We start from the raw sequence: 24,714 nt of genomic DNA, 5'->3' as shown, positions 1-24,714 counted from the left end.
GCAATCATCCTGCCTCTGCCTCCCAAAGTGCTGGAATTATAGGTGTGAGCTACCACACCTGGCCTCAGCTGAGTTGCCTTTGAAACATTCCCATGAAGATGCAAAGTTTAACTCAGAGAAGTCAGAGGTCATGGGAATTGAATCGTACCTAAAGCCATAACAGAAGGAAAGAGTACAAGAAAAGAAAAGGGTCCATAATGGAGCCTTGAGGATTTTCTCTATTTAAAATAACTGAGGCCAGGCACGGTGGCTCACGCCTGTAATCCCAGCACTTCGGAAGGCCGAGGCAGGTGGATCACCTGAGGTCAGGAGTTCAAGACCAGCCTAACATGGAGAAACCACCCCACCCCCCCACTAAAAATACAAAATTAGCCGGGCGTGGTGGCGCATGCCTGTAATACCAGCTACTCGGAAGGCTGAGGCAGGAGAATTGCTTGAACCCGGGAGGCAGAGGTTGCTATGAGCCAAGAACGCGCCATTGCACTCCAACCTGGGCAACAAGAACGAAACTCTGTCTCAAAATAAATAAATAAATAAATAAATAAATAAATAAAATAACCAACTTTAGGATGGGTGCAGTGGCTCACGCCTGTAATCTCAGCACTTTGGGAGGCCGAGGTGGGCGGATCACCTGAGGTCAGGAGTTCAAGACCAGCCTGGCCAACATGGCGAAACCCCGTCTCTACTAAAAATACAAAAATTAGCTGGGCGTGGTGGTGGGCGCCTGTAAACCCAGCTACTCGGGAGGCTGAGACAGAAGAAGAACTGCTTCAACCCAGGCGGTGGAGGTTGCAGTGAACTGAGATCGCGCCACTGCACTCCAGCCTGGGTGAGAGAGTGAGACTCCATATCAAAAAAATGATAATAATAAAAATAAATAAATAAAAAATAAAATAACCAAGTTTAATGTATTTTTACTACAGTCAGTTTCTTAGTTCATTTGTACTGCTTTAACAGTACCTGAGACCTGGTAATTTAAAAAGAACAGTAGTTGGCCGGGCACAGTGGCTCACACCTATAATCTCAGCACTTTGGGAGGCTCAGGTGAGTGGATCACTTGAGTCCAGGAGTTCAAGACCACTCTGGGCAACATAGGGAGACCCCATCTCTACAAAAAATAATAATAATAAATAGCCAGGTGTGGTGGTGCACACCTGTAGTCCCAGCAACATGGGAGGCTGAGGTGAGTGGATCCAGGTACAGCACTTAAACACTCCTGACAATGAGTGCTGACAAAGAAAAACTGAGCAAAAGTGGAATTCGAGAGAACTCGAATTTAGCCCAGCTAAATTTTGTATTTTTAGTAGAGACAGGGTTTCATCATGTTGGCCAGGATGGTCTCTATCTCTTGACCTCGCAATCCGCCCGCCTCGGCCTCCCAAAGTGCTGGGATTACAGGCGTGAGCCACCGCGCCCGGCTACAAGTTCTTTTTTCTTTTTGTTCCTTGGAAAGCATCGCTGGGCATTTATCCTGTCCTAGTATTTGAGTGAAACTTCTCTTAGCATTTCAGCGCAGTGACCAAGAGACACCCTTTCCTTTCCTTCTCCTTATGGGAAACTCGGTTCTAACCCAGAGGACTTGGGCTCCAGGACCCAGTAAGGCAGCCCTGGACTAAAAGGGAGTAAAGACAAACGTGAAGTTCAGTCCGGTGTTCAGGGCTGCCAAAGCTCATAGCCTGGAGTTTCTTATCCTCTAGGCGGGGTAGAGACATTTAAAACCGCCCCTAAACTTGTGAGGCGCATAGGCTCATGGGAAATAGAGTCCAGTACTTGTCCGGAGACCAGCAGTGGGCCCTGGGAGGCGGACTTCCGGTGCACTCCTGCGCGTGTGCACCTCTCCCGGCGTGCGTGTTCGGGCATGCGCGCTGCCGCCGCACTGCCCTCGCTTCCTGTGAGTCTTCAGGTCGCCGCTTGCTCTCGTTCCTAGGGTTTGGCCTGCAGTGGACGAGCATCGCATAGCCTGCGGGGCTGGATGCTGACCGCCCGGGCCAGCACCTAGGCGGACGCGGAGCTGTGCAGACCAGGGTTCGCGCGGGCCGGGTGGAGGCTCAAGCGGGGACCCCGGAGCGTGAGCCCCGGAGTCGGCGGCGCTGGGGCCAGAGGGGCCGGGAGGGAGTCGGCTGAGGTGGCGGCGGAGGCGAAGTGGCGGCGGAGGCGAAGGGGCGGCGGGACCCGGGCCTGGCCCGTATGTGTCCTTGGCGGCCTAGACTAGGCCGTCGCTGTATGGTGAGCCCCAGGGAGGCGGATCTGGGCCCCCAGAAGGACACCCGCCTGGATTTGCCCCGTAGGCCCGGCCCGGGCCCCTCGGGAGCAGAACAGCCTTGGTGAGGTGGACAGGAGGGGACCTCGCGAGCAGACGCGCGCGCCAGCGACAGCAGCCCCGCCCCGGCCTCTCGGGAGCCGGGGGGCAGAGGCTGCGGAGCCCCAGGAGGGTAAGTCTGGGATTTTCGGGCCCAGAGCGAGAAGGGCCTGGGTGAAGTCACCGTGTGTTGGGGACCTTTGAGTGTGGGGCAGGGGGAGGGTCCCGATCGCTTGCAGGAGAGACGTGTGTTTGGGTTCGAGGGCAGGGTCCGGCTGCACGGAACAGGCGCTGCATGGGAAGATCTGGGAGGACGAGGCTTACGGGGGCGTGGAGGGTGTCACCACCCTCAGCTGCGGACGTCGTCTCCACTCCCCGCTAACCCCTAACAGCCCTTCCTCCTCCTCTCCGTGCTCCAGATTTCGACCGCCTCTAAACGTCCCTCAGCACCTCTGTTCTCTCATTTAAGTGTCTGCTGATTCGCCCCTTAGATCTGCCCTGGGAGAATCGTAGTAATGCAGGAACAGCCTGCAGGGATTCTCTCCTGCTGCCTCAGTTGCTAGGGGAAGAGACTGGGCCTTAGCAGGTGGGTGACTTGACCAGGTCACTGGCTTTGTGGATGGAATTACTCATAGTAGAACTCAGGAGTCTTATCTCCCAGGCCAGTGCTCTTTCTCCCGTATCCTAGTTTTCTTAATAGAAGATTATTAGGTGCAGCAATAACCAAGTTCAGTTAGATAATTTAGAAACAAAACCATATTTTATACACATTCATTTCATTTCTGAGAGCTCACATATTCAATTCCTATGGCTTCTTTGATTTTAAGCAGTTTAGAGAGACAATAAGAAAACGCGGGCCGGATGCAGTGGCTCATACCTGTAATCCCAGCACTTTGCGGGCCTAGAGCAGGAGTATCCCTTGAGACCAGGAGTTAGAGACCAGCCTAGGCAACATAGGGAGACCCTGACTCTACAAAAAATACAAAAGCAGCCAGGCATGCTGGGATGCACCTGTGGTCCTAACTACTCAGGAGGCTGAAGTGGGAGGATGGATGGAGCCCAGGAGGTCGAGGCTGCAGAGAGCCGTGAATGCACCACTGCACTCCAGCCTGGGTGGCAGATTGAGACCCTGTCTCAGCAAACAAACCACAAAAATCATGAGCTGTATAATGGGAAATTTTTTTCTTTTTGCACGTTGTACTTGATGGCAGACCATGTTACCCATGAGAGTCTTAACTCACCTAATTACTATCTGATTATCTTAGAGTTACAAAGTTACAAGTGCATGCTTCCCCTATCACTTTTTTTTTTTTTTTTTTTTTTTTTTGAGACAGTATCTCTCACCCAGTCTGGAGTGCAACAGCGTGGTCTCCGCTCACTGCAACCTCCACCTCCCAGATTCAAATGATTCTTGTGCCTCAGCCTCCTGAGTAGCTGGGACTACAGGCATGTGACACTATGCCTGGCTAATTTTTTTGCTATTTTTAAGTAGAGACGGGGTTTTGCCATGTTGGCCCGAGGCAGGTGGATCACTTGAGGCCAGAATTCGAGACCAGCCTGGCCAATGTGGTGAAACCCTGTATCACTCTTTTAGGCCCTTCTGAGTGTTTGCAGCTGAGTGTTCACAGGGTGTTAACCTATTTGAGCTTTCTTTTGTGGTTCGTAATGCAGGAGATTTCTGCCTTTGCAGGCCGGAGCCCTCATGACTTCAGTGACCTGCTTCTGCCCCTCTAGGTCTATCAGCCACAGTCTCTGCATGTTTCCAAGAGCAACAGGAAATGAACACATTGCAGGTGAGTTTTCCTGCTTGTATATATGTTCCTCAACTTTATTTTATGATGCATTTTAAGAGGCTTGTAAGGATTCATACTTTTTTTTTTTTTCTTGAGATGCAGTCTTGCTCTATTGCCCAGCCTGCAGTGCAGTGGCATGATCTTGCTTCACTGCCACCTCCACCTCCTGGGTTCAAGCGATTCTCCGGTCTCAGCCTCCAGAGTAGCTGGGATTACAGGCATGCGCCACCATGCCCAGCTAATTTTTTTTTTTTTTTGAGACGGAGTCTCACTCTGTTGCCCAGGCTGGAGTGCAGTGGCGTGATCTCGGCTCACTGCAAGCTCCGCCTCCTGGGTTCACGCCATTCTCCTGCCTCAGCCTCCTGAGCAGCTGGGACTATAGGTGCCCGCCACTGCGCCTGGCTAATTTTTTTTTTTTTTGTATTTTTAGTAGAGACGGGGTTTCATCGTGGTCTTGATCTGCTGACCTTGTGATCCACCCGCCTCGGCCTCCCAAAGTGCTGGGATTACAGGCGTGAGCCACCGTGCGCAGCCAATTTTTTGTATTTTTAGAAGAGACGGGGTTTCACCGTGTTGGCCAGGCTGGTCTCAAACTCCTGACCTCAGGTGATCCTCCCACCTCAGCCTCCCAAAGTTCTGGGATTACAGGCATGAGCCACCACGCCCAGCCAGGATTCATACTTTAAAATGGGAATGTGGAAATAGACATTATCCTGTAAAATATAGTTAGTGTGGCAGATCAGCACCAAAAATGATTTGTGAAGCTTGTATGTATGGGTAGTATATTTTAAGGCTGTTGAAATTGAGCCGCACCCAGGACTGACATTCTTGGCAGTCATCACAAAAGGAAAATGCCATCTGTATTAGTCCATTCTCACACTGCTATAGAGAAATAACCAAGACTGGGTAATTTATAAAGAAAAGAGGTTTAATTGGCTCACACCTGCAGGCTCTATCATGGGAAGCATGGCTGGGGAGGCCTCAGGAAACTTACAGTCATGGTGGAAGGCGAAGGAAAAGCGGGTACATCTTCATCACCAGAGGAGAAGGAAGAAGGAGGGGGAGGCGCTACACACTTTTAAACAACCACATCTTGTGATAACTCACTCAGTATCAGCACCAAAAGGGAAATTGTCCCCATGATCCAATCACCTCCCACCAGGTCCCACCTCCAACATTGGGGATTACAATTGAATATGAGATTTGGGAGGCGACACAAACTGAAACCATATCACCATCCATGACATGATTTGCATTGATTATAAGGAGAAACCAATTTTGTTACTTGTGGATTTAAAAGATTTTCTAGGACTTGGAAAAATTTCTTCATTCAAGTTGATATAATTGTGGATAGCTTTCCTAACAACAACCATTAAATTACTGACTTATGGCTTATTCTTGGTGCTTATGTAAGCAGAGGGCCTGCTGCCCAAGGAGAACTTGGTGCATATAATTTTTCCAGGGACGGAAATATCGTGATCCAAGTAAACAGAATTCTGTTTTTACTGTTGAGTCCTAGATCATGGGGGGAATGAATGACATGATCATCCTTCAGATATTTGTTCGTCTTTTTGTTTGGGTTGCACAGCAAACAATACAAACAGTTACTCTCTTGTGAAGATTTCCTCATTTCTGTTTCTCATTTCAGTTCTCAGTGTTTTCGTTTTGTCCTTTTCACTTTGCTGAGTCAGTCAGTAAAGATGACCAGTGATTTAATTGCAGTCAAATCCAGCGGGCAATTCCTAGCCCCTTCCTCACAGGACCCTTTGTCTGCCTTTGACATCCGTTACTTCGAAACTGATATTTTCTCCATGGAGTCTCTCTTTTCTTGGCTCTTAAAAAGATTCATCTGTAAGTATTTCTGTTTGTCTTTAAATGGTGAAGTCTTTTGTTTTGTTTCTTTTTTTCTTTTTTTGAGATAGGGTCTTGCTGTGTCATCCAGGCTGGAGTGTAGATGTGATCAAAACTCACTGCAGCCTCAATCTCCTGGGCTCATGCGATCCTCCTGCCTCAGCCTCCCACGTAGCTGGGACTACAGATGCACGCTGCCACACCTGGCTAATTTTTTTTGTATTTTAGTAGAGACTGGCTTTCACTGTGTCACACAGGCTGGTGTCGAACTCCTGAGCTCAGGCAGTCTGCCTGCCTCGGCCTCCCAAAGTGCTAGGATTACAGGCGTGAGCCACTGCTCCTGGCCTAGAGATGTATTCTCACTGTATTGCTCAGGCTGGTCTCAAACTCCTGGCCTCAAGTTATCCTTTCACTTTGGCCTCCCAAAGTGCTAGGATTACAGGTGTAAGCCACCACACGTGGCCAATAAAGAATTTTTTTAAAGGGGCTAGGAATAACCCATAATACTCTCTTAATACATGTGGCAGTTGCGTTAAATCTTTTAATAGTTCCCATAGTATGTCTCTTGCGTGCTCATTGTTTTGAAGAAACTGTGTTGGTTATCCTCAGTTTGGATTGTGTTACCCTTGTTTCACCTTTAGCAAATTTTTAAAAAATATCTCATATGCCTTGTAAAATTGGTAGTTTGATCTAGAAGTCTAATCAAGTTTATGTTCAGTTCTTTTCACACAACTATACCATATGTGGCATTTGTCTACTTCTGGAGGCACGTGTTACCTTCTTTGTTTTTGTGAAGTTAAGAACTATTGACTGTTGATTATTGCTGTGATTTACTAGTTCATTAGGGGAGGCAAAATGGTGATCTGCTAATTCTACCATTTATTCTTTATTTACTAGCCAAAATACGTTTCTTTTCTTTTCTCTTTTTGGAGACAGAGTCTCACTCTGTCGCCCAGGCTGGCGCATTTATGGCTCACTGCAGCCTCAAACTCCTGTGCTCAAGTGATCCTCCCACTTCAGCCTCCCAAGTAGCTGGGAGTATAGTCATATGCCACAATGCCCAGCTGATTTTTTAATTTTTAGTAGAGACAGGTTTCTCTTTGTTGCCCAGGCTGGTCTTGAACTGGGCTCAAGTGATCCTCTTCTTTGACCTCCCAGTGTTGGGATAATAGGCATGAGCCACCACAGCTGGCCTAGAATACTTTTCTAAAGATAAATTTCTATTCTTTATTTGTTTATGTAATTCATGCAGGAAAGACAGTTTCTATAATATTGAGTAGGCTTCTAAGCAGGAAGGTTTTTTTGTTTTGTTACCATCATGAGCTCATGGGTTTAAACAGATAGTAAATATTTCAGTACATAGAAGTTGTGATTCTTTTTGAAAATTAAGTGGTTCCATCTTTGGCCAGACGGAATCCCTTTAAGTTGGTTTCTGAGTCCTTTTGAAATATATTTGATATATTTGATAGCAAATGTATACATATAATATATATTTGATAGCATTATTTTCTATTTAGCATTTTATTTTGAAATCATTTCAAATTTTCAGAAAAATTGCAAGGATTTTACAAAGAAATCCCAGACACTTCCTTTTGTTCAGACACTTCATTCTTAACATTTTCCCACATTAATCATTTATATGCATATATACATATGTGTCTATATATATTTTCTGAACTATTTGAGAGTGGGTATGTCATGCCTCTTTACCCTATAAAGTTTTAGATTATATCTCATAAAATCAAGAACATTCTGTTAAATATCCATAGCACAGTAATTGAATTCAGGAAATTTATCATTGATTTAATACTTTTATCTGTAGTTCATTTTCCAGTTTGGCCAATTTCCCAATAATTTCCCTTATAGCAATTTTTAATTTTTGGTAGAAGATTCAGTCTAGGACTGTTAATTGCCTTTAGTTTTCATGCTTTTTAAGTCTGTTTAATATGGATTTGTTCCTCAGTGCCATTATAATATTTGAAGAATACAGGCCAGTGATTTTATAGAAGTCTTTAAATTTAGGTTTCCCTGATCTTTCTTCATGATTAGATTTAGACTGAATTTTTGTCTGGAATACTACATGGAACCTCTTAAATTTATGGCTCATAATAGGATCTGTCTTGGGAAAATTCTGTGCATGCCTGAGAAGATGGCTTGTTCTGCTCTGGTTGGGTGGAGTGTTTGATAAATGTTAATGAGATCAAGTTGGTTGGTTGTGTTGTTCAGGTGTACTATATCCTTGTTGATTGTGTGCCCACTTGTATCAATTGTGGGGGAGAGGGGATTGAAATCTGCTGCAGTTGTGGTTCTGTTTCTCTTTGCAATTTTACCACTTTTTGCTTTATGTGTTATATTAGATACATAAATGTTCAAGGTTATTACGTCCTGTTGATTAATTAACCACTTTGTAAAATGGCCTTCCTTATCCCTGCTAATATTCCAGGCTGTGAAATGTACTTTGTTATTTATGAAGCATTCTTTTGAGTAATGCATGCATGCTATATCTTATTCCATCCTTTTACTTTTAACCTATTTGCATCTTTATATCTAAAGTATTATTTCTTGTAGGCAGCAAGATTTGGATCTTGCTTGTTTTCATCAGTCTGTTTCTGTCTCATAATTGGGGATGTATAAACCGTTTACATGTAATGTGATTATTGATAAAACGAGTTAGGTTATAGTCCACTGTCTTTGCTTTCTTTTAGTCTCATCTTCTTTGTTTCTTTTTAAAATGTCTCTGTTTGTCTTCCTTCCTTTTGATTAGTTGAGAATTTTTTATGATTCTACTTTATATCTTTTGTTGGGTTTTTGGCTATCACACTGTTATTATTTTAGTGAGTTAGAATTTATAGTATGCAGCCTTAATTATCATAGTTTATTCTTAAGTAATATACCATTTTTCTTAGAGTAAGAGAAGCTTACAATAGGACACTTCCATTTCTCTCCTCTTGGTCTTTACACCGTTGTTCATTTCATTTTTACAGGTGGTATCAGTGCCACACACTATCTATTACGTTGTTGTTAATTAAACAGTTATCTTTTATTTGTTTATTTATTTATTTATTTATTTAGAGACAGAGTCTCACTCTGTCCCCCAGGCTGGAGTGCAGGGGTGCGATCTCGGCTCACTGCAACCTCTACCTCCTGGGTTCAAGTGATTCTCCTGCCTCAGCCTCCCTCAGCTGGGATTACAGACACCTACCACCACGCCCGGCTAATTTTTGTATTTTTAGTAGAGATGAGGTTTCGCCATGTTGGCCAGGCTGGTTTCGAACTCCTGACCTCAGGTGACCTGTCTGCCTCAGCCTCCCAAAGTGCTGGGATTACAGGTGTGAGCCACCACACTTGGCCCAGGTATCTTTTAAAGAGATTTAAGTAATGAGAGAAAATACACAGTTACCATTTCTGGTACTCTTCATTCCTTTATGTAAATCTAAATTTTTATTTTCTGTCATTTTACTTCTGCCTGAAGGACTTTCTTTAACATTTCTTCTAGTTGATGATGAATTCTTGTAGGTCTGCAAATGTCTTCATTGTGTCTTTGCTTTTAAAGGTGTTTTTGCTGGATTTTTCTCCACAGTGCTTTAAATATGTTTCTCTGTTGTCTTCCTGCTTACATTTTTTTCTAAGAGAAATCTGATCTCATACTCATGTTTGTTCCCCTATATATAACATGTCTTTTTTTCTTCCCCCCTTATTGTTTTAAACTTTTTATCACTAGTTTTGGACAATTTGATTGCAATATGTCATGGTATCTTTTTTTCATGTTTCTGTTTTGGGGATCATTGAACTTCTTGGATCTTGGGTTTATGGTGTCATCACTTGGGGAACATTTTTATCATTATTTCTTCAAGTACCCACCACCTCCCCTCCATTGATTCTTGTTGCCTGTATATTAGGCCACTTGAAATTTTCCCACAACATACTGTTGCTCTTTATTTGCTTTTAATTCTTCTTTCTCTGTTTCATTTTATGTAACTTCTGTTGCTGTCTTTATATTCACTAATCTCTTTTTTCCACGATGCTGTTCATCTTGTCCAGTATAATTTTCATCTCAGATATTGTAGTTTCTATCTGTAGAAGGTTAGCATGGGTCTTTTTCACATCTTGCCTGTCTCAATTTTTTTGAACATTTGGAATAGAATGATGAACTCTCTCAGTGCTCTGTGCCAGTTGTAAACTCTGTGTCAATTCTGGGCCAGTTTTGATGGACTGATTGTTTTCCTTATGGGTTGTAGTTTCCTGCCCATTTTCCCGACTCGCAGCTCTTTCTCCTCACATCTGCCTCTGTTCTTCTTCCCTGCTCCGTGGCCTGGAGTCACTCAAGGCAGAAGTTGATTGGTTCACCTTGTTTATTTCCCATCACTCATAGATAACTCTACTGCCTGATAATCAGTGCCTTGAAAGCCATTGCTTCAGCCCAGGCGTGGTGGCTCATACCTGTAATCACAGCACTTTGGGAGGCCAAGGCAGGCGGATCATGAGGTCAGGAGTTCAAGACCAGCCTGGCCAACATGGTGAAACCCCGTCTCTACTAAAAATACAAAAATTAGCCGGGCGTGCTGGTGCATGCTTGTAATCCCAGCTACTTGGGAGGCTGAGGCAGGTGAATCGCTGGAACTCGGGAGACGGAGGTTGCAGTGAGCCAAGATTGTGCCATCGCACTCCAGCCTGGAAGACAAGAGTGAGACTTTGTCTCATAAAAAACAAAAACAAAAACAAACAAACCATTGCTTCATATATGTTCTCCATTTTATTTTTCTTTCTGTTTTTGATTTTGTTGTTGTTCTTTGGTGTGTGCTGTTTCAGGTTGGAGGGTATATGCAGTACCTGTTAGTTTATCACACCTGAGGGCAGAAGTCCTCATGTCTCTCTCTCTCTATTTTTTCTAATATATATATTTTTTTCTTTGTAGAGACAGGGTCTTGCTATGTTGCCAAGGCTGGTCTCAAGCTCCTGGCCTCAAGCAGTCCTTCTGGCTCAGCTTTCCAGAGTGCTGGGATTACAGGCATGAGCCACCACACCTGGCCTGGGTCCAGTTTTATCCATGTCCAAATATTTTTTTTCCCTGAGCTGTTTTTGATTTTCTTCCACCTCATATGAACTGTAGTGTCGGCTTATCTAGTTCCAGGAAAAAGCTTTTTGGTATTTTTATTGGGATTGTATATTTATAAAGTAATTTAGGGTAACTGATATCTTTGTATTATTACGTTGACCTTAATAATACAACTAATTTTTTTTTTTTGGATTTTTAGTAGAGATGGGGTTTCACCATGTTGACCAGGCTGGTCTTAAACTCCTGACCTCAGGTGATCTGCCCGCCTCAGCCTCCCAAAGTGTTGGGATTACAGGCGTGAGCCACCGTGCCCGAGCACTTTTTTTTTTTTTTTTGAGATGGCGTCTCACTTGTCGCCCAGGCTGGAGTGCAGTGGCACAATCTCAGCTTACTGCAAACTCCGCCTCCTGGGTTCACGTCATTCTCCTGCCTCAGCTTCCCGAGTAGCTGGGACCACAGGCACCCGCCGCCATGCCCGGCTAATGTTTTGTATTTTTAGTAGAGACGGGGTTTCACCATGTTAGCCAGGATGGTCTCGATCTCCTGACCTTGTGATCCGCCCGCCTTGGCCTCCCAAAGTGCTGGGATTACAGGCGTGAGCCACCGCGCCTGGCCGCCCGAGCACTTTTACTTTTCCTTAGTTATATTCCTCTAATTGTTTTCTCTTCTCTAGTTGTAGATAATGAGCATTTTATTAATACCTTGTTCTTGATCTTAGTGGGAAGGTATGTAGTTTTTCCCTGTTAAGTAAAATCCTGACTTTTGGACCAAGAAGACTGAGGCATAAGAGTTTATGTGTGTCCGTGTGTGTGCACGTACATGTGTCTGTGTGTGTATACACACAAACTATATATATGCTTGTGTGTAATTGAAATACATATGTCACATATATATCATATGTACTACTGCATATTAGGGTGTAATATTTATATTTGTATATATACATAATATTGATGTTAATGAAGCATCCATCAGTTTCTGTTTTCTTTAGTTTTTTTAAATCAGGTTTTTCTGTCAAGCTTTTTCAAGTATCTTCATGGATACAAGATTTTTCTTCTTTGCTGTGTTATAGTGGCCTATCATATTAATAGATTTCCAAATACTAAACTAGTCTATATTATTGGAATAAGTCCTATTTGTCTGTTGTATATTATGTTTTTAATCTGGTACTGGATTTTGTTTGGTTATGTTTCATTTTGGGTATTTGTATTGATATAAGTGGTATTGTAGTGGCATGTAATTTTATGTTATTTATTGGCTGATCCATCTTCTAACCCCTCCACCTCCTTGCCTTTTGGACTAACTTAACCTAGAAGGTTATTACTCTCTCTCGGTGATTTTATCAGCTCCTTTGGCCTGCCTGTGGATAAGCTTGGATGTTCTGCTTTAGTTTCTCAGCCCACCAGCCTAGCGGCTCTGACTCTGCTATCTCTTGGGATCTACATGGTCCTAGCTATATCACTGGGTTTGAACCCCTTGTTGATATCTTCTTTATAAATAACAGGATAATGTAACTTGCTTACTGGGCACTTCCTTTTTCTAAACTACAAGTTTGGGCGGGGTATGCTGGCCCAAGACTGTAATCCCAACACTTTGGGAGGCCAAAGCAGGTGGATTGCTGGAGCCCAGGAGTTTTGCATTTTTCTTTTCTTTTTCTTGAGACAAGGTCTCGCTCTGTTGCCTAGGCTGGAGTGCAGTGTTGCATTCACAGCTCACTGCAGCCTTGACCTCCCAGGCTCAAGCCATCCTCCTGCCTTAGCCTCCCAGGTAGCTGGAACTACAGGCATGTGCCATGATGCCCAGCCAATTTTTTAAAAAATTTTTATTTTTAGTAGAGATGAGGTTCTTACTATGTTGCCCAACCTGGTCTCGAACTCCTGAGCTCAAATGATCCTCCCATCTCGGCCTCCCAAAGTGCTAGGACTATAGGCATGAGCCACCATGCCCAGCCCCAACCTCTTAAAAATTGAAGCTGCTTCATGTTTGCCATTGGTACTTTTTACACCTCATCATATTCTTCTTCCCCTTCATCCCATAGAATACACAATTCATCTTTAAGGACTTCAAGTTAACTGAGTCTGTGAAGCCTAACTGATGGCATAAAGTTAAAATAATTTGATCCTCTTTTGTTAAATCATTCTGCACCTTGTCTGCATTACTCTAATAACAGCTTTGGGCATTCATTCATTTAACGAATATTTATTGCTGTGAGATTGAGATGTTTGAGATAAAACTCAGCCATGCAGATAGCCAGAGGCCACTGACTATGAGAATAAAAAAGACAAAAGAACAAGGAGCTGAAACTAGGTGAGAGCCCCAGAGCAGTGAGTTAGGAAGAAGAAGACCAGGAACTGAGTGGTGGGCACTCCAACATGAAGAGGTCCAGGAGAAGGGGAGGGCCTGGCAGCAAAGAAGTGACAAGGAGTAAAATGCTTGTGTTTGTTTACATGTTTATCTCCTTATTAGGTTGTCTGCTTTCTGAGAGCAGGCATGGTGTTTCACTCATCTCATATCCCCAAAACTCAGTTCAGTTGCAAAATAGGAGTTCAGTTGTGTTTTGGGTTTTTATTTTTGTGGGGTAATATATATTTTATATATATATATCCCCAAAGGATATATGTTTCCTCTATGATTTCCAATATGATTTCCCTTCCATAATCTGTAACATAAAATAAGGTATACAATGTTCATGGTTAACTTTACGAGTGAACTTTGTAAAATGATATCCCCCTATCCCTTTTCCATATCTCCCAATTCTGATCATGTTGCCATTACAGGGGCCAGTGTCATTCAAAGATGTGGCTGTGGATTTCACCCAGGAGGAGTGGCGGCAACTGGACCCTGATGAGAAGATAGCATACGGGGATGTGATGTTGGAGAACTACAGCCATCTAGTTTCTGTGGGTGAGGATGGCTTGCTTTCTGAATGCTCTCAGTTGAATGGGGTTTTATCCTTGAGTTTGAAGAAATAAGTGATGACACCATTTAATTCCTTGTGGGCACTAGCTGGAGTGTTTATATTATTCTTCATTGAAAGGTTCTAACTTTGATAAGGTAAAAAAAAATGGAGCACTTCTGTTATGCAGCTAATGAGGTGGCAACATCTTGTACTTTGGAGATTCTGAAGCCAAGCAGCTTGCCCAAGTCCTTCTTCTTTTCCCATTAACAGGGTATGATTATCACCAAGCCAAACATCATCATGGAGTGGAGGTGAAGGAAGTGGAGCAGGGAGAGGAGCCGTGGATAATGGAAGGTGAATTTCCATGTCAACATAGTCCAGGTAAGTTAGTAGATTATCACATGTTAAAAAACACTCATCCCAGACCTTTGGGAGTGACTAAAGAGTTGTTTATATGTACTCGGTACCCTCAGTAACACCTCCCAACCCCCAAATATCACTTTCCTTCCCACACACATACCACATACATGAACTCTTTTGTTGATTTTACATTTGATTTACATTGGTAGGGATTTTTTCATTCTAACCTGTACTGGGGACCCAGTCACTTCCTCTTTCTCCAGCATTATCGGTCACTTACTTACTCCCTCGCCATTAGAGAATTGTTGTGAGTTTTTTGTTTGTTTGTTTGTTTGTTTGTTTTTTGGAGACAGAGTCTTGTTCTATCACCCAGGCTGGTGTGCACTGGTATGCTCTCGCTCACTGCAACCACTATCTCTCAGGTTCAAGCGATTCTCCTTCCTCAGCCTCCTGAGTAGCTGGGTTTATAGGCGCCCACCATGATGCCTGCCTAATTTTTTGTATTTTTAGTAGAGACAGGGTTTCACCATGTTGGCCAGGATGGTCTCCAACTCCTGACCTCAAGTGATCCGCCTGCCTCTGCCTCCCAAAGTGCTGGGATTACAGGCATGAGCCACCCCACCAGGCCATGCTTTCAGTTTTCAAGAAAGAAGACACCATTGTTGCCAAAGATTTTGGTAATTTGAGAGATACAATGTAGTTTTCTCCATGTGGATCCTAGATAGTAAGGATCTGTTGAATTTGAAGTATCTATCCAGAAGTATTTTGGGTACATGTTTAAGGATTGTAAAACAGTGTTTCTATTTCTGGATATAATAAATGTATTTGTTAATATAATAACTGAACAGATTAGACCCATAAACTATTTACAGTGTTGAGTCATTTCCCACAGTTAAAATCAGGATGAAAATATATAGCTGAATACTTGCTTTGTTTCTTGTAACATTTCTTTAGTACAGAACCTGCTAAGGCCATCAAACCTATTGATCGGAAGTCAGTCCATCAGATTTGCTCTGGGCCAGTGGTACTGAGTCTAAGCACTGCAGTGAAGGAGTTAGTAGAAAACAGTCTGGATGCTGGTGCCACTAATATTGGTAAGTTTGGGAGAGTTTTAAGCCACAAGAAATGATTAGTGTGTGTTGTTGTAGTCAAGAAACATTTGTTATTGAAATAAGACTATCAAGTGTTGATGTAGTAATAAATTATTATTTTTAAGTTAAAGTTAGCACCTATTATGTGCCTAGTACTTAGCTAGGTAGTAATAATAATAACGACAGCTTTTCTTGTGTTCTTATGGTGTGCCAGGCAGGTGTTATGCTAAGAATTGCACAGAAATATCTCATTTAATTTGCAGAATAGCTGGGCGTGGTGTTTCACGCCTGTAATCCTAGCCCTTTGAGAGGCCAAGGTGGGGGGATTGCTTGAGGCCAGAGTTCAAGACCAACCTGGCCAACATGGTGAGACCTCATCTCTATTAAAAAAATAAAGCAGGCCGGGTGTGGTGGCTCACACCTGTAATCCCAGCACTTTGGGAGGCCAAGGTGGGTGGATACCTGAGGTCAGCAGTTTGAGACCAGCCTGTCCAAAATGGTGAAACTCTGTCTCTACTAAAAATATAAAAATTAGCCAGACTTGGTGGCAGAAGCCTGTAATCCCAGCTACTTGGGAGGCTGAGGCATGAGAATGGCTTGAACCCGGGAGGCAGAGGTTGCAGTGAGCCGAGATCGTGCCACTGCACACCAGCCTGGGACAGAGCAAGACTCTGTCTCAATAAAAATAAAATAGGCATGGAGTAGTGGCTCACATCTATAATCCCAGCACTTTGGGAGGCAGAGCAGGGCTGATCATTTGAGGTCAGGAGTTCAAGACCAGCCTAACCAACATGGTAAAACCCTGTCTCTACTAAAAATACAAAAATTAGCCAGATGTGATGGTGCATGGCTGTAATCTCAGCTCCTCGGGAGGCTGAGGGAGGAGAATTGCTTGAACCTCGGAGGTGGAGGTTGCAGTGAGCCAAGATCAGATCATGCCACTGCATTCCAGCCTCGGTGACAAGAGCAAAACTCCATCTCAAAAAAAAACAAGAAAAAAAAAAATAACAAAATAAAATAAACCTGAAAAATTATTAATCAGCTGAGTAACTTTATGAGATAGAACTTATTATCTTCATTTTACAGATGAGGAAATTAAGGAACAGGAAATTTCCTTTTTTTGAGATTATAAAGCTAATAAAATAGGATCCAGGAAGTCTGATTCCAGAAGCAGTTGCCTTTTTTTTTTTTTTTGAGATGGAGTTTCACTCTTGTTGCCCAGGGTATAGTGCAACGGCACGATCTCGGCTCACCGCAACCTCCGCCTCCCGGGTTCAAGCAATTCTGCCTCAGCCTTATGAGCAGCTGGGATTACAGGCATGCACCACCACACCTGGCTAATTTTGTATTTTTAGTAGAGACAGGGTTTCTCCACGTTGGTCAGGCTAGTCTGGAACTCCTGACCTCAGGTGATCTGCTCACTTTGGCCTCCCAAAGTGCTGGGATTACAGGCATGAACAACCGCGCCTGCCCCCCTTTCTCCTTACTGGGTATGTTAAAATTATTTCTTTCAAAAGAAAAGGCTGGTCAAAGTGCAACGGTGTTAACCACTAATTGATCACAACCAGTTACAGATTTTTTTGTACCTTCTCCACTCCAACTGCTTCATTTGACTAGCCTATGGACAAAAAAAAAAAAAAAAGAGGAAAGAAAAAGCTAAACTATTTAATCTGGGCTAGTAAATGGCCAGAAAGGGCTTTATAAAAATGAAATATACAAAATGATACTCGTACTTTTAACTAAAGGTATAGTTATGACTCTTCAATTTGCACATGTTATAAATAATATCAATATAAAAGCTTATAGCATGGGTCCATTTTTTTTTTTTTTCTTTTTGAGACGGAGTCTCACTGTCTCCCAGGCTGGAGTGCAGTGGCGCGATCTCGGCTCACTGCAAGCTCCGCCCCCCGGGTTCATGCCATTCTAGCATGGGTCCATTTTTAATAAATACATAAATATTTAAACTTTCTAGATCTAAAGCTTAAGGACTATGGAGTGGATCTCATTGAAGTTTCAGACAATGGATGTGGGGTAGAAGAAGAAAACTTTGAAGGCTTAAGTAAGTTGACTTTTTCTAATCCTATTATAAAATAATTGGGCCACATGTCTCAGAATTTTGAGTAACACTGTCTTGGGAAACGCAAAAACAGTTTTTTAAGCCAGTTACTAGATATCATGTATATCCGTTGTTTTGGCACTTGAGGTATCTTAGTCCTTACTTTACAGTCTCTTTCAGCTCTGAAACATCACACATGTAAGATTCAAGAGTTTGCCGACCTAACTGAAGTTGAAACTTTCGGTTTTCAGGGGGAAGCTCTGAGCTCACTGTGTGCACTGAGGTGATACAATGTTTTTATCCATTCACTTGACCCCTTAGAAAAACCTCTCAGAAAGTTAATTGGAATCGTTATTTACAATTTTCTATCTCGGTATCTCAGCTTCTAGCTTCTGAATTCTGTTTTGTCTCACTGCCAATCTAAGTCCTAGTACTTCTGAAATGTGGGAAATAAATGAATGAAATGAAGCAAATAGTATTGTTAAAAAAAAATGGTTACCCTTATTAGAACAGTAACTTCTCAATTTTAACATAACATATAGGTAATAAATGATAGTTACCACTGCTTTTCATCATCAAATTTTAGGGAAACATTTCACCAAAGCACTATTTAATTATAGAACAGATACTAAATTTTTATAATTATATTTAAATATATATATACATATATATGTGTGTATATATATACATATATATGTGTGTATATATATATACACATATATGTGTGTGTGTATATATGTATGTGTATATATATAATTTTTGTTTGTTTGTTTGTTTTTTTAGACAGAGTCTCACTCTGTCACCCAGGCTGGAGTGCAGTGGCACAGTCTCAGCTCACTGCAATCTCTGCCTCCCAGGTTCAAGTGATTCTCATGCCTCAGCCTCCTGAAGAGCTGGGACTATAGCGTGCACCACCACTCCTGGCTAATTTTTGTATTTTTAGTAGAGATGGGGTTTTGCCATGTTGCCCAGGCTGGTCTGGAACTCCAGGCCTCAAGTGATCTGCGCTCCTCGGCCTCCCAAAGTGCTGGAATTACAGGCATGAGCCACCGTACCCTGCCCTACATATACATTTTAATTATAATATCTCTTGGATTCTTTAAAAATTTAAAAAAATTTTTTAATTCTTTAAAAAATTCTTTAAAACAATTTTATTTGAAGAGTAATAACAAAACAAATCTCTATTTGTGAATAAATAAACCTTGAGATCATTTATGGTTTTGCAATTCAACCTGAAAAATGAAATCAAAGCTTTTATCAAAACAAAGCATGTTTAGTGCTCTCTGTCTCACTGTCTTTTAGATGCCAAACCTTAGATTTTATAATGACTCCTCAACCGTTTAGATCTTGGTTATCTCAGAGGGATCATCAGCTTTTTAAGAAAGTTTTGAGAGAAAAGCAAGTGAAGAAAAGCATAGTCAATGCTCAACATCACGGGTCTCTCACTGAACACACCACGCCTGGTATTCTCTCACAGCGATGTCACCATTTCTACCTGCCACGCGTCGGTGAAGGTTGGGACTCGACTGGTGTTTGATCACGATGGGAAAATCATCCAGGAAACCCCCTACCCCCACCCCAGAGGGACCACAGTCAGCGTGAAGCAGTTATTTTCTACGCTACCTGTGCGCCATAAGGAATTTCAAAGGAATATTAAGAAGGTACAGTAAATTAATCTTGGTTTTCAAGAGTATTGGTTAATGCACATGAGCAAAAGATTTACTAAAGATGTTTATTCTTCAGTTGATTCTCTTGCCATAATCTATTGAGAAATGCTTTATTTGCATTTCTCGTTAAAGACTTAACATTAAAGACTTAACTTTAGGGTGATTTACTTTTTTCTTTTCATCACATAGTGTTTATTAGGACTGGGCAACATAGTGAGACTCTGTTTCTATGAAAAATTAAAAAAAAAATTGACTGGGCATGGTGGCATCCACCTGTAGTTCCAGCTACTTGGGAAGCTGAAGTGGGAGATTCACTTGAGCCCAGAAACTTGAGGCTGCAGTGAGCTATGATTGTGCCACTGTATTTCAGACTGGGAGACAGAGTAAGACTCTGTCTGGAAAAATATATATACATATATATATTTTATTTTTATTTTTTATTTTTATCTTTTTTTGAGATGGAGTCTCACTTTGGCGCCCTGGCTGGAGTGCAGTGGCACGATCTCGATTCACTGCAACCTCCACCTCCCGAGTTTAAGCGATTCACCTGCCTCAGCCTTCTGAATAGCTGGGATTACAGGCGCGCACCACCACACCTGGCTCATTTTTGTATTTTTAGCAGAGACGGGGTTTCACCACGTTGTCCAGGCTGGCCAGGCTGGTCTCAAATTCCTGACCTCAGGTGATCCGCCCACCTCGGCCTCTCAAAGTGCTGGGATTATAGGCGTGAGCCACCATGCCTGCCTTATGTACTTATATTTTAATGAGACTATTTCTCTTGGTTTTCTGATAAATGAGTTACTGGAACCCTTATGAATCTGAATGCAAAAGAAACAGCTAAATGTTATGTAATTGTTGTGTTTAAAAACCAGATTATAAAACTATCTGTATTATATGATTACGGTTTTATAAAAACAAAACAACGGCCTAAATGTGTATAGTATAAAGGCTGGAAGAGTCAGCACTTTCATGTTCTCAGCGGTTATCCTTGGATGTGAGATCTCATGCACTTTTTGCTCTCTTCTTTGTGCCTTTCCATTTTGTATGTGTATTTTTTACAATCTAAAAAGTTACTTAAACATATGCAGCTACAAACTTTTTTTACTTGTAAAGCGTTTGGTGCTAATTTTAACTTTTTTTTTTAGACGGAGTCTTCTCACTCTGTCGCCCAGGCTGGAGTGCAGTGGTGTGATCTTGGCTCACTGCAACCTCCGCCTCCTGGGTTCAAGTGATTCTCCTACCTCAGCCTCCCAAGTAGCTGGGATTATAGGTGTGTGTCACCACACCCAGCTAATTTTTGTATTTTTAGTAGAGATGGGGTTTCACCATGTTGGCCAGGCTGGTCTTGCACCCCTGACCTCAAGTGATCTGCCCACCTCAGCCTCCCAAAGTGCTGGGATTACAGGCGTGAGCCACCACGCCTGGCTTTTTTTTTTAAAGCTTTTTTGAAAGTCAGCTAGCAAGAACACAGGAAGAAATACTCAAATCTCCCTTACCCAGCTGGGGGCTATGTCAGGTTTTATAAGCATAGGGTAATGAGTTGTGATTTGATTGGATCTTGCAATAAAGTAATGCTGGGAGGTGTGATCTGACTGGATCCTGCCATGGGGTGACAGCAAAACTCAATCTGATTGGATCCTGGCTCCTGCCATGGAGTGTCCAGTTCTTAAATCAGTCTCAGCTCTTCAGGCCGAGCTTTTAGTTTCCACTCCGTGGTTGCATGCTTGGTTAACCTGGGCATGCACAGGGTACATGCCCTTCAACCTGTGGGTCCATGGCAATTGAAAAACAACTGACAACCTCATTACATAAAAGTTGAACTGAGCCGGGTGCAGTGACTCACGCCTGTAATCCCAGCACTTTGGGAGGCCAAGGCAGGTGGAGGTCAGGACTTCAAGACCAGCCTGGCCAAAATGGTAAAACCCCGTCTCTACTAAAAATATAAATATTAGCCAGGTGTGGTGGTGCACCCTTATAATCCCAGCTATCTGGAGGCTGAGGCAGCAGAATCACTTGAACCTAGGAGGTGGAGGTTGCAGTGAGCTGAGTTCATACCATTGCACTCCAGCCTGGGTGACAAGAGTGAAACTCCGTCAAAAAAAAAAAAAAAAGTTGAACCAGATTTGGTCTGATGCAGTTACAGATCTACAAACCTCACCCCCACCCTCCTGCCAACACCTTCCACTCCTCATTCTTGAGGGATTAGGGATGGAGGTCATGCTTCTGCTTCGACTTCATGCTGAGCAGGGCACTGAGTCCCCTAAAGTGAAAGGAATGAAACTCTTGGGCTTCTGAGTTCAGATGAGTTCTGGGGTCACCCAGAGTAGCTTGAAAGGCTGGTATTGTTGTAATACAAGCTGAAGGTGGAAGTGTTGGAGCCTGGAGGACAAACAGCTCACCATCCATTTAAATAAATAGGACCAAAAAGTAACAGAACAGTGGCCACGAGGGGCCCCAACAGAGGAAGAAACCAGGTGAGGTGCGGTATAGTGGACTCGACTGCCTTCTAAATCTCAGTGGTTGTCCGGGTGCGGTGGCTCACGCCTGTAATTCCAGCAAAAGAAGAGCCGAGGCAGGGTGATCACGAGGTCAGGAGTTCAAGACCAGCCGGGCAAACATGGTGAAACCCCGTCTCTACTGAAAATACAAAAATTAGCCAGGTGTGGTGGCGTGTGCTGTAGTCCCAGCTACTAGGGAGGCTGAGGCAGGAGAATTGCTTGAACCTGGGAGGCGGAGGTTGCAGTGAGCCGAGATTGTGCCACTGCACTCCAGCCTAGGTAACAGAGCAGGACTCCATCTCAGTCAATCAATCAATCAATCTCAGCGGTTGAACTACCCTTGACATGGTTCAGCTCTGTATCCACACCCAAATCTCATGTCAAATTGTAATTCCCAGTGTTGTGGGAGGGACCTGGTGGGAGGTGATTGGCTCATGGGGGCCGACTTCCCCCTTGCTGTTCTCGTGATATTGAGTGAGCGCTTGTGGGATCTGGTTGTTTAAAAGCGTGCAGCCCTCCCACTTCACTCTCTCTGTCTCTCCTGCTCCAACATGGCCAGACGTGCCTGCTTCCCCTTCGCCTTCTGCCGTGATTGTCAGTTTCCTGAGGCCTCCCCAGCCATGCTTCCTGTACAGCCTGCAGAACTGTGAGTCAATTAAACCTCTTTTCTTCATAAATTACCCAGTTTCTCATAGTTCTTTATAGCAGTGTGAAAACAGACTAATGGCCCTTCTGGTTGAAGGAATGCAGCCATTCTGCTTGTTTGACTATGTCCTTTCTATTCATCTCTATTTCCTGGGAGGTGTTTATCCAAGTGCAATAGGAGGTATTGGTGACCGCACAGTCCCCTCAGTGTTCTGCTAGTAAATAGTTGAAGGTTGATCATTGATCTCCTGCGTTTTCAGTCTGGCATGGAAAAGCCCCCGTGCAACTGGTAAAGATATCAATAAGCACCAGGAGGTATCTAAATCCACCAGGAGCCATAGGCATCACATTGACGTCCATTTACCAGTCTTCCCTGGCAAGATTCTTCTGAATTGTGCTGCCTTGACCAAAAGAGGTATGGGAGGGGCTGGGCGCAGTGGCTTGTGCCTGTAATCCCAACATTTTGGGAAACCAATTCAGGTGGATCATTAGAGGTCAGGGGTTCAAGACCATCCTGGCCAACATGGTGACATCCCATCTCTACTAAAAATACAATAAGTTAGCTGGGTTTGGTGTTGGGTGCCTGTAATCCCAGCTACTCGAGAGGCTGAGGCAGGATAATCGCTTGAACCTGGGAGGAGGAGGTGGCAGTGAGCTGAGATCGTGCCATTGCACTCCAGCGTGGGCAACAAGAGTGAAACGTCGTCTCAAAAAATAAAACAAAAGTCCGGGCGTGATGGCTCACACCTGTAATCCCAGCACTTTGGGAGGCCAAGACGGGTGGATCACGAGGTCAGGAGTTCAAGACCAGCCTGGCCTAGATGGTGAAACCCTGTCTCTACTAAAAATGCAAATATTAGCTGGGCATGGTGGCATGCACCTGTAATCTCAGCTACTCAGAAGTCTGATGCAGGAGAATTGCTAAAACCCAGGAGGGAGAGGTTACATTGAGCCGAGATTGCGCCACTGCACTCTAGCCTGGGCGACAGAGCAAGACTCCGTCTCGAAAGAAAGAAAGAGAAAGGAAATTCCCCAGGGAAGTACCTCGGCTTATTTCATAAACAGGTACTGAAGGAAGCAGAGGCATGTGGAGGACTTCCCCACCTCGTGCAGCTATTTGGGCCGTGGCATCTGAAATTTCTTATTTCAGAGTCACCCCTTTGATGACCTTGGCAGTGAACTGCAGTCATCTGTTTAGGCCTTTCCATGGCCCACGTCAATGCCGGTATTTCTGTTTGTTGCACATTTGATTTCCTTGTTGTTGGCATTTAGAAGGCCCCCCGTTTCCCAGATCACACCACGGGCATGGACCGCAGAGATTGCATCTTGTGAGTCTGTAGAAACAGTCAAGGCCTTGTCCTCTCTTAGGTCCAGAGCTCAGGTTAATGCAGATTTTCCCGGCCATCTGTGCTGAAGTCCCTTTGGGGAGGCTCCTGGCTGGTTTCCTGTAGGTAGACAGCTACACGTCCTGCCCTTCATTGGCTTCTTTTCATGAAGCTCCTGCCATCTACAAAACATGTCTCCCTTCTTGAATCACATCTCTGTTATTGAAACTCTAGAAGTCGACCGGGCATGGTGGCTATGCCTATAATCCCAGCATTTTGGGATGCCAAGGCGGGTGGATCACCTGAGGTCAGGAGTTCAAGACCAGCCTGGCCAACATGGCGAAACCCCGTCTCTAATACAAATACAAAAATTAGCCAAGCATGGTGGCCACTGTACTCCAGCCTTGGCGACAGAGCAAGACTCCGTCTCAAAAAAAAAAAAATAAAATAAAAGAGAAAGAAAGTATCATGCTTTTCTGCATTCTGTGAATTGTTTTAGTGAGTTATCGAACTTGAGGGCATGGTGGGAACCTCCAAATTTGCAGCCAGTTGGTGAGAAGTATATGTGGTCTGAAGACACCCAAACCTGCAGGTGTGTCTAAAGCGAGGGCAGCCTAGTGGGGGCTGGTGGCCTTAACCTGTGGCATTTGAGGTAACATCAGGGAGTTGACATCAGAATTGCATCACATAGGCTGGGCGCGGTGGCTCACGCCTGTAATCCTAGCACTTTGGGAGGCCAAGGCGGGCAGATCACGAGGTCAGGAGATCGAGACCATCCTGGCTAACACAGTGAAACCCCGTCTCTACTAAAAATACAAAAAATTAGCCAGGCATGGTGGCGGGCGCCTGTAGTCCCAGCTACTCGGGAGGCTGAGGCAGGAGAATGGCATGAACCCAGGAGGCGGAGCTTGCATTGAGCCAAGATCACGCCACCGCACTCCAGCCTGGGTGACAGAGCGAGACTCCATCCCCCCCCCACAAAAAAAAAGATAAAAAACAGAATTGTGTCACAGGCCAGATGCAGTGGCTCATGCTTATAATCCCAGCAATTTGAAAGGCAAGGTAACAGGATCGCTTGAGCTTGAGTCTGAGGCCGCAGTGAGCTATGACCACACCACTGCACCCCAGTCTGGGTGACAGTGCAAGACCCCAACTCCAAAAAGAAAAGAGAAAA

At 43.8% G+C, this 24,714-nt stretch overlaps 1 pseudogene across 1 annotated transcript, besides 2 other annotated features; it reads left to right on the top strand.

Annotated features, from left to right (window-relative positions):
* Positions 1,664-1,958: an enhancer, noted in NCBI's record as "tiled region #5953; HepG2 Activating DNase unmatched - State 1:Tss, and K562 Activating DNase unmatched - State 1:Tss". NCBI's record gives its function as "activates a minimal TATA promoter and a strong SV40 promoter by Sharpr-MPRA in HepG2 and K562 cells {active_cell/tissue: HepG2 | K562}" and the evidence as "EXISTENCE:reporter gene assay evidence [ECO:0000049][PMID:27701403]".
* On the top strand, positions 1,874-22,250 carry PMS2P3 (PMS1 homolog 2, mismatch repair system component pseudogene 3; annotated as a pseudogene). The gene is made up of 9 exons (NR_028059.1): positions 1,874-2,432; positions 4,034-4,092; positions 13,777-13,903; positions 14,169-14,279; positions 15,213-15,352; positions 17,322-17,408; positions 17,576-17,688; positions 18,883-19,066; positions 22,130-22,250. The product of NR_028059.1 is annotated as a PMS1 homolog 2, mismatch repair system component pseudogene 3 (transcript).
* Positions 2,075-2,224: a silencer, noted in NCBI's record as "silent region_18297". NCBI's record gives its function as "represses an Ori minimal core promoter by ATAC-STARR-seq in GM12878 lymphoblastoid cells {active_cell/tissue: GM12878}" and the evidence as "EXISTENCE:reporter gene assay evidence [ECO:0000049][PMID:35858748]".
* Positions 22,251-24,714: the final 2,464 nt, after the last annotated feature.

This window comes from Homo sapiens, chromosome 7, assembly GCF_000001405.40.
Source record: "Homo sapiens chromosome 7, GRCh38.p14 Primary Assembly".
In the NCBI taxonomy this organism is placed as follows: domain Eukaryota; kingdom Metazoa; phylum Chordata; class Mammalia; order Primates; family Hominidae; genus Homo; species Homo sapiens.
The sequence above is the reverse complement of the archived record's forward strand: the minus strand, read 5'-3'. Positions and strand labels throughout refer to the sequence as shown.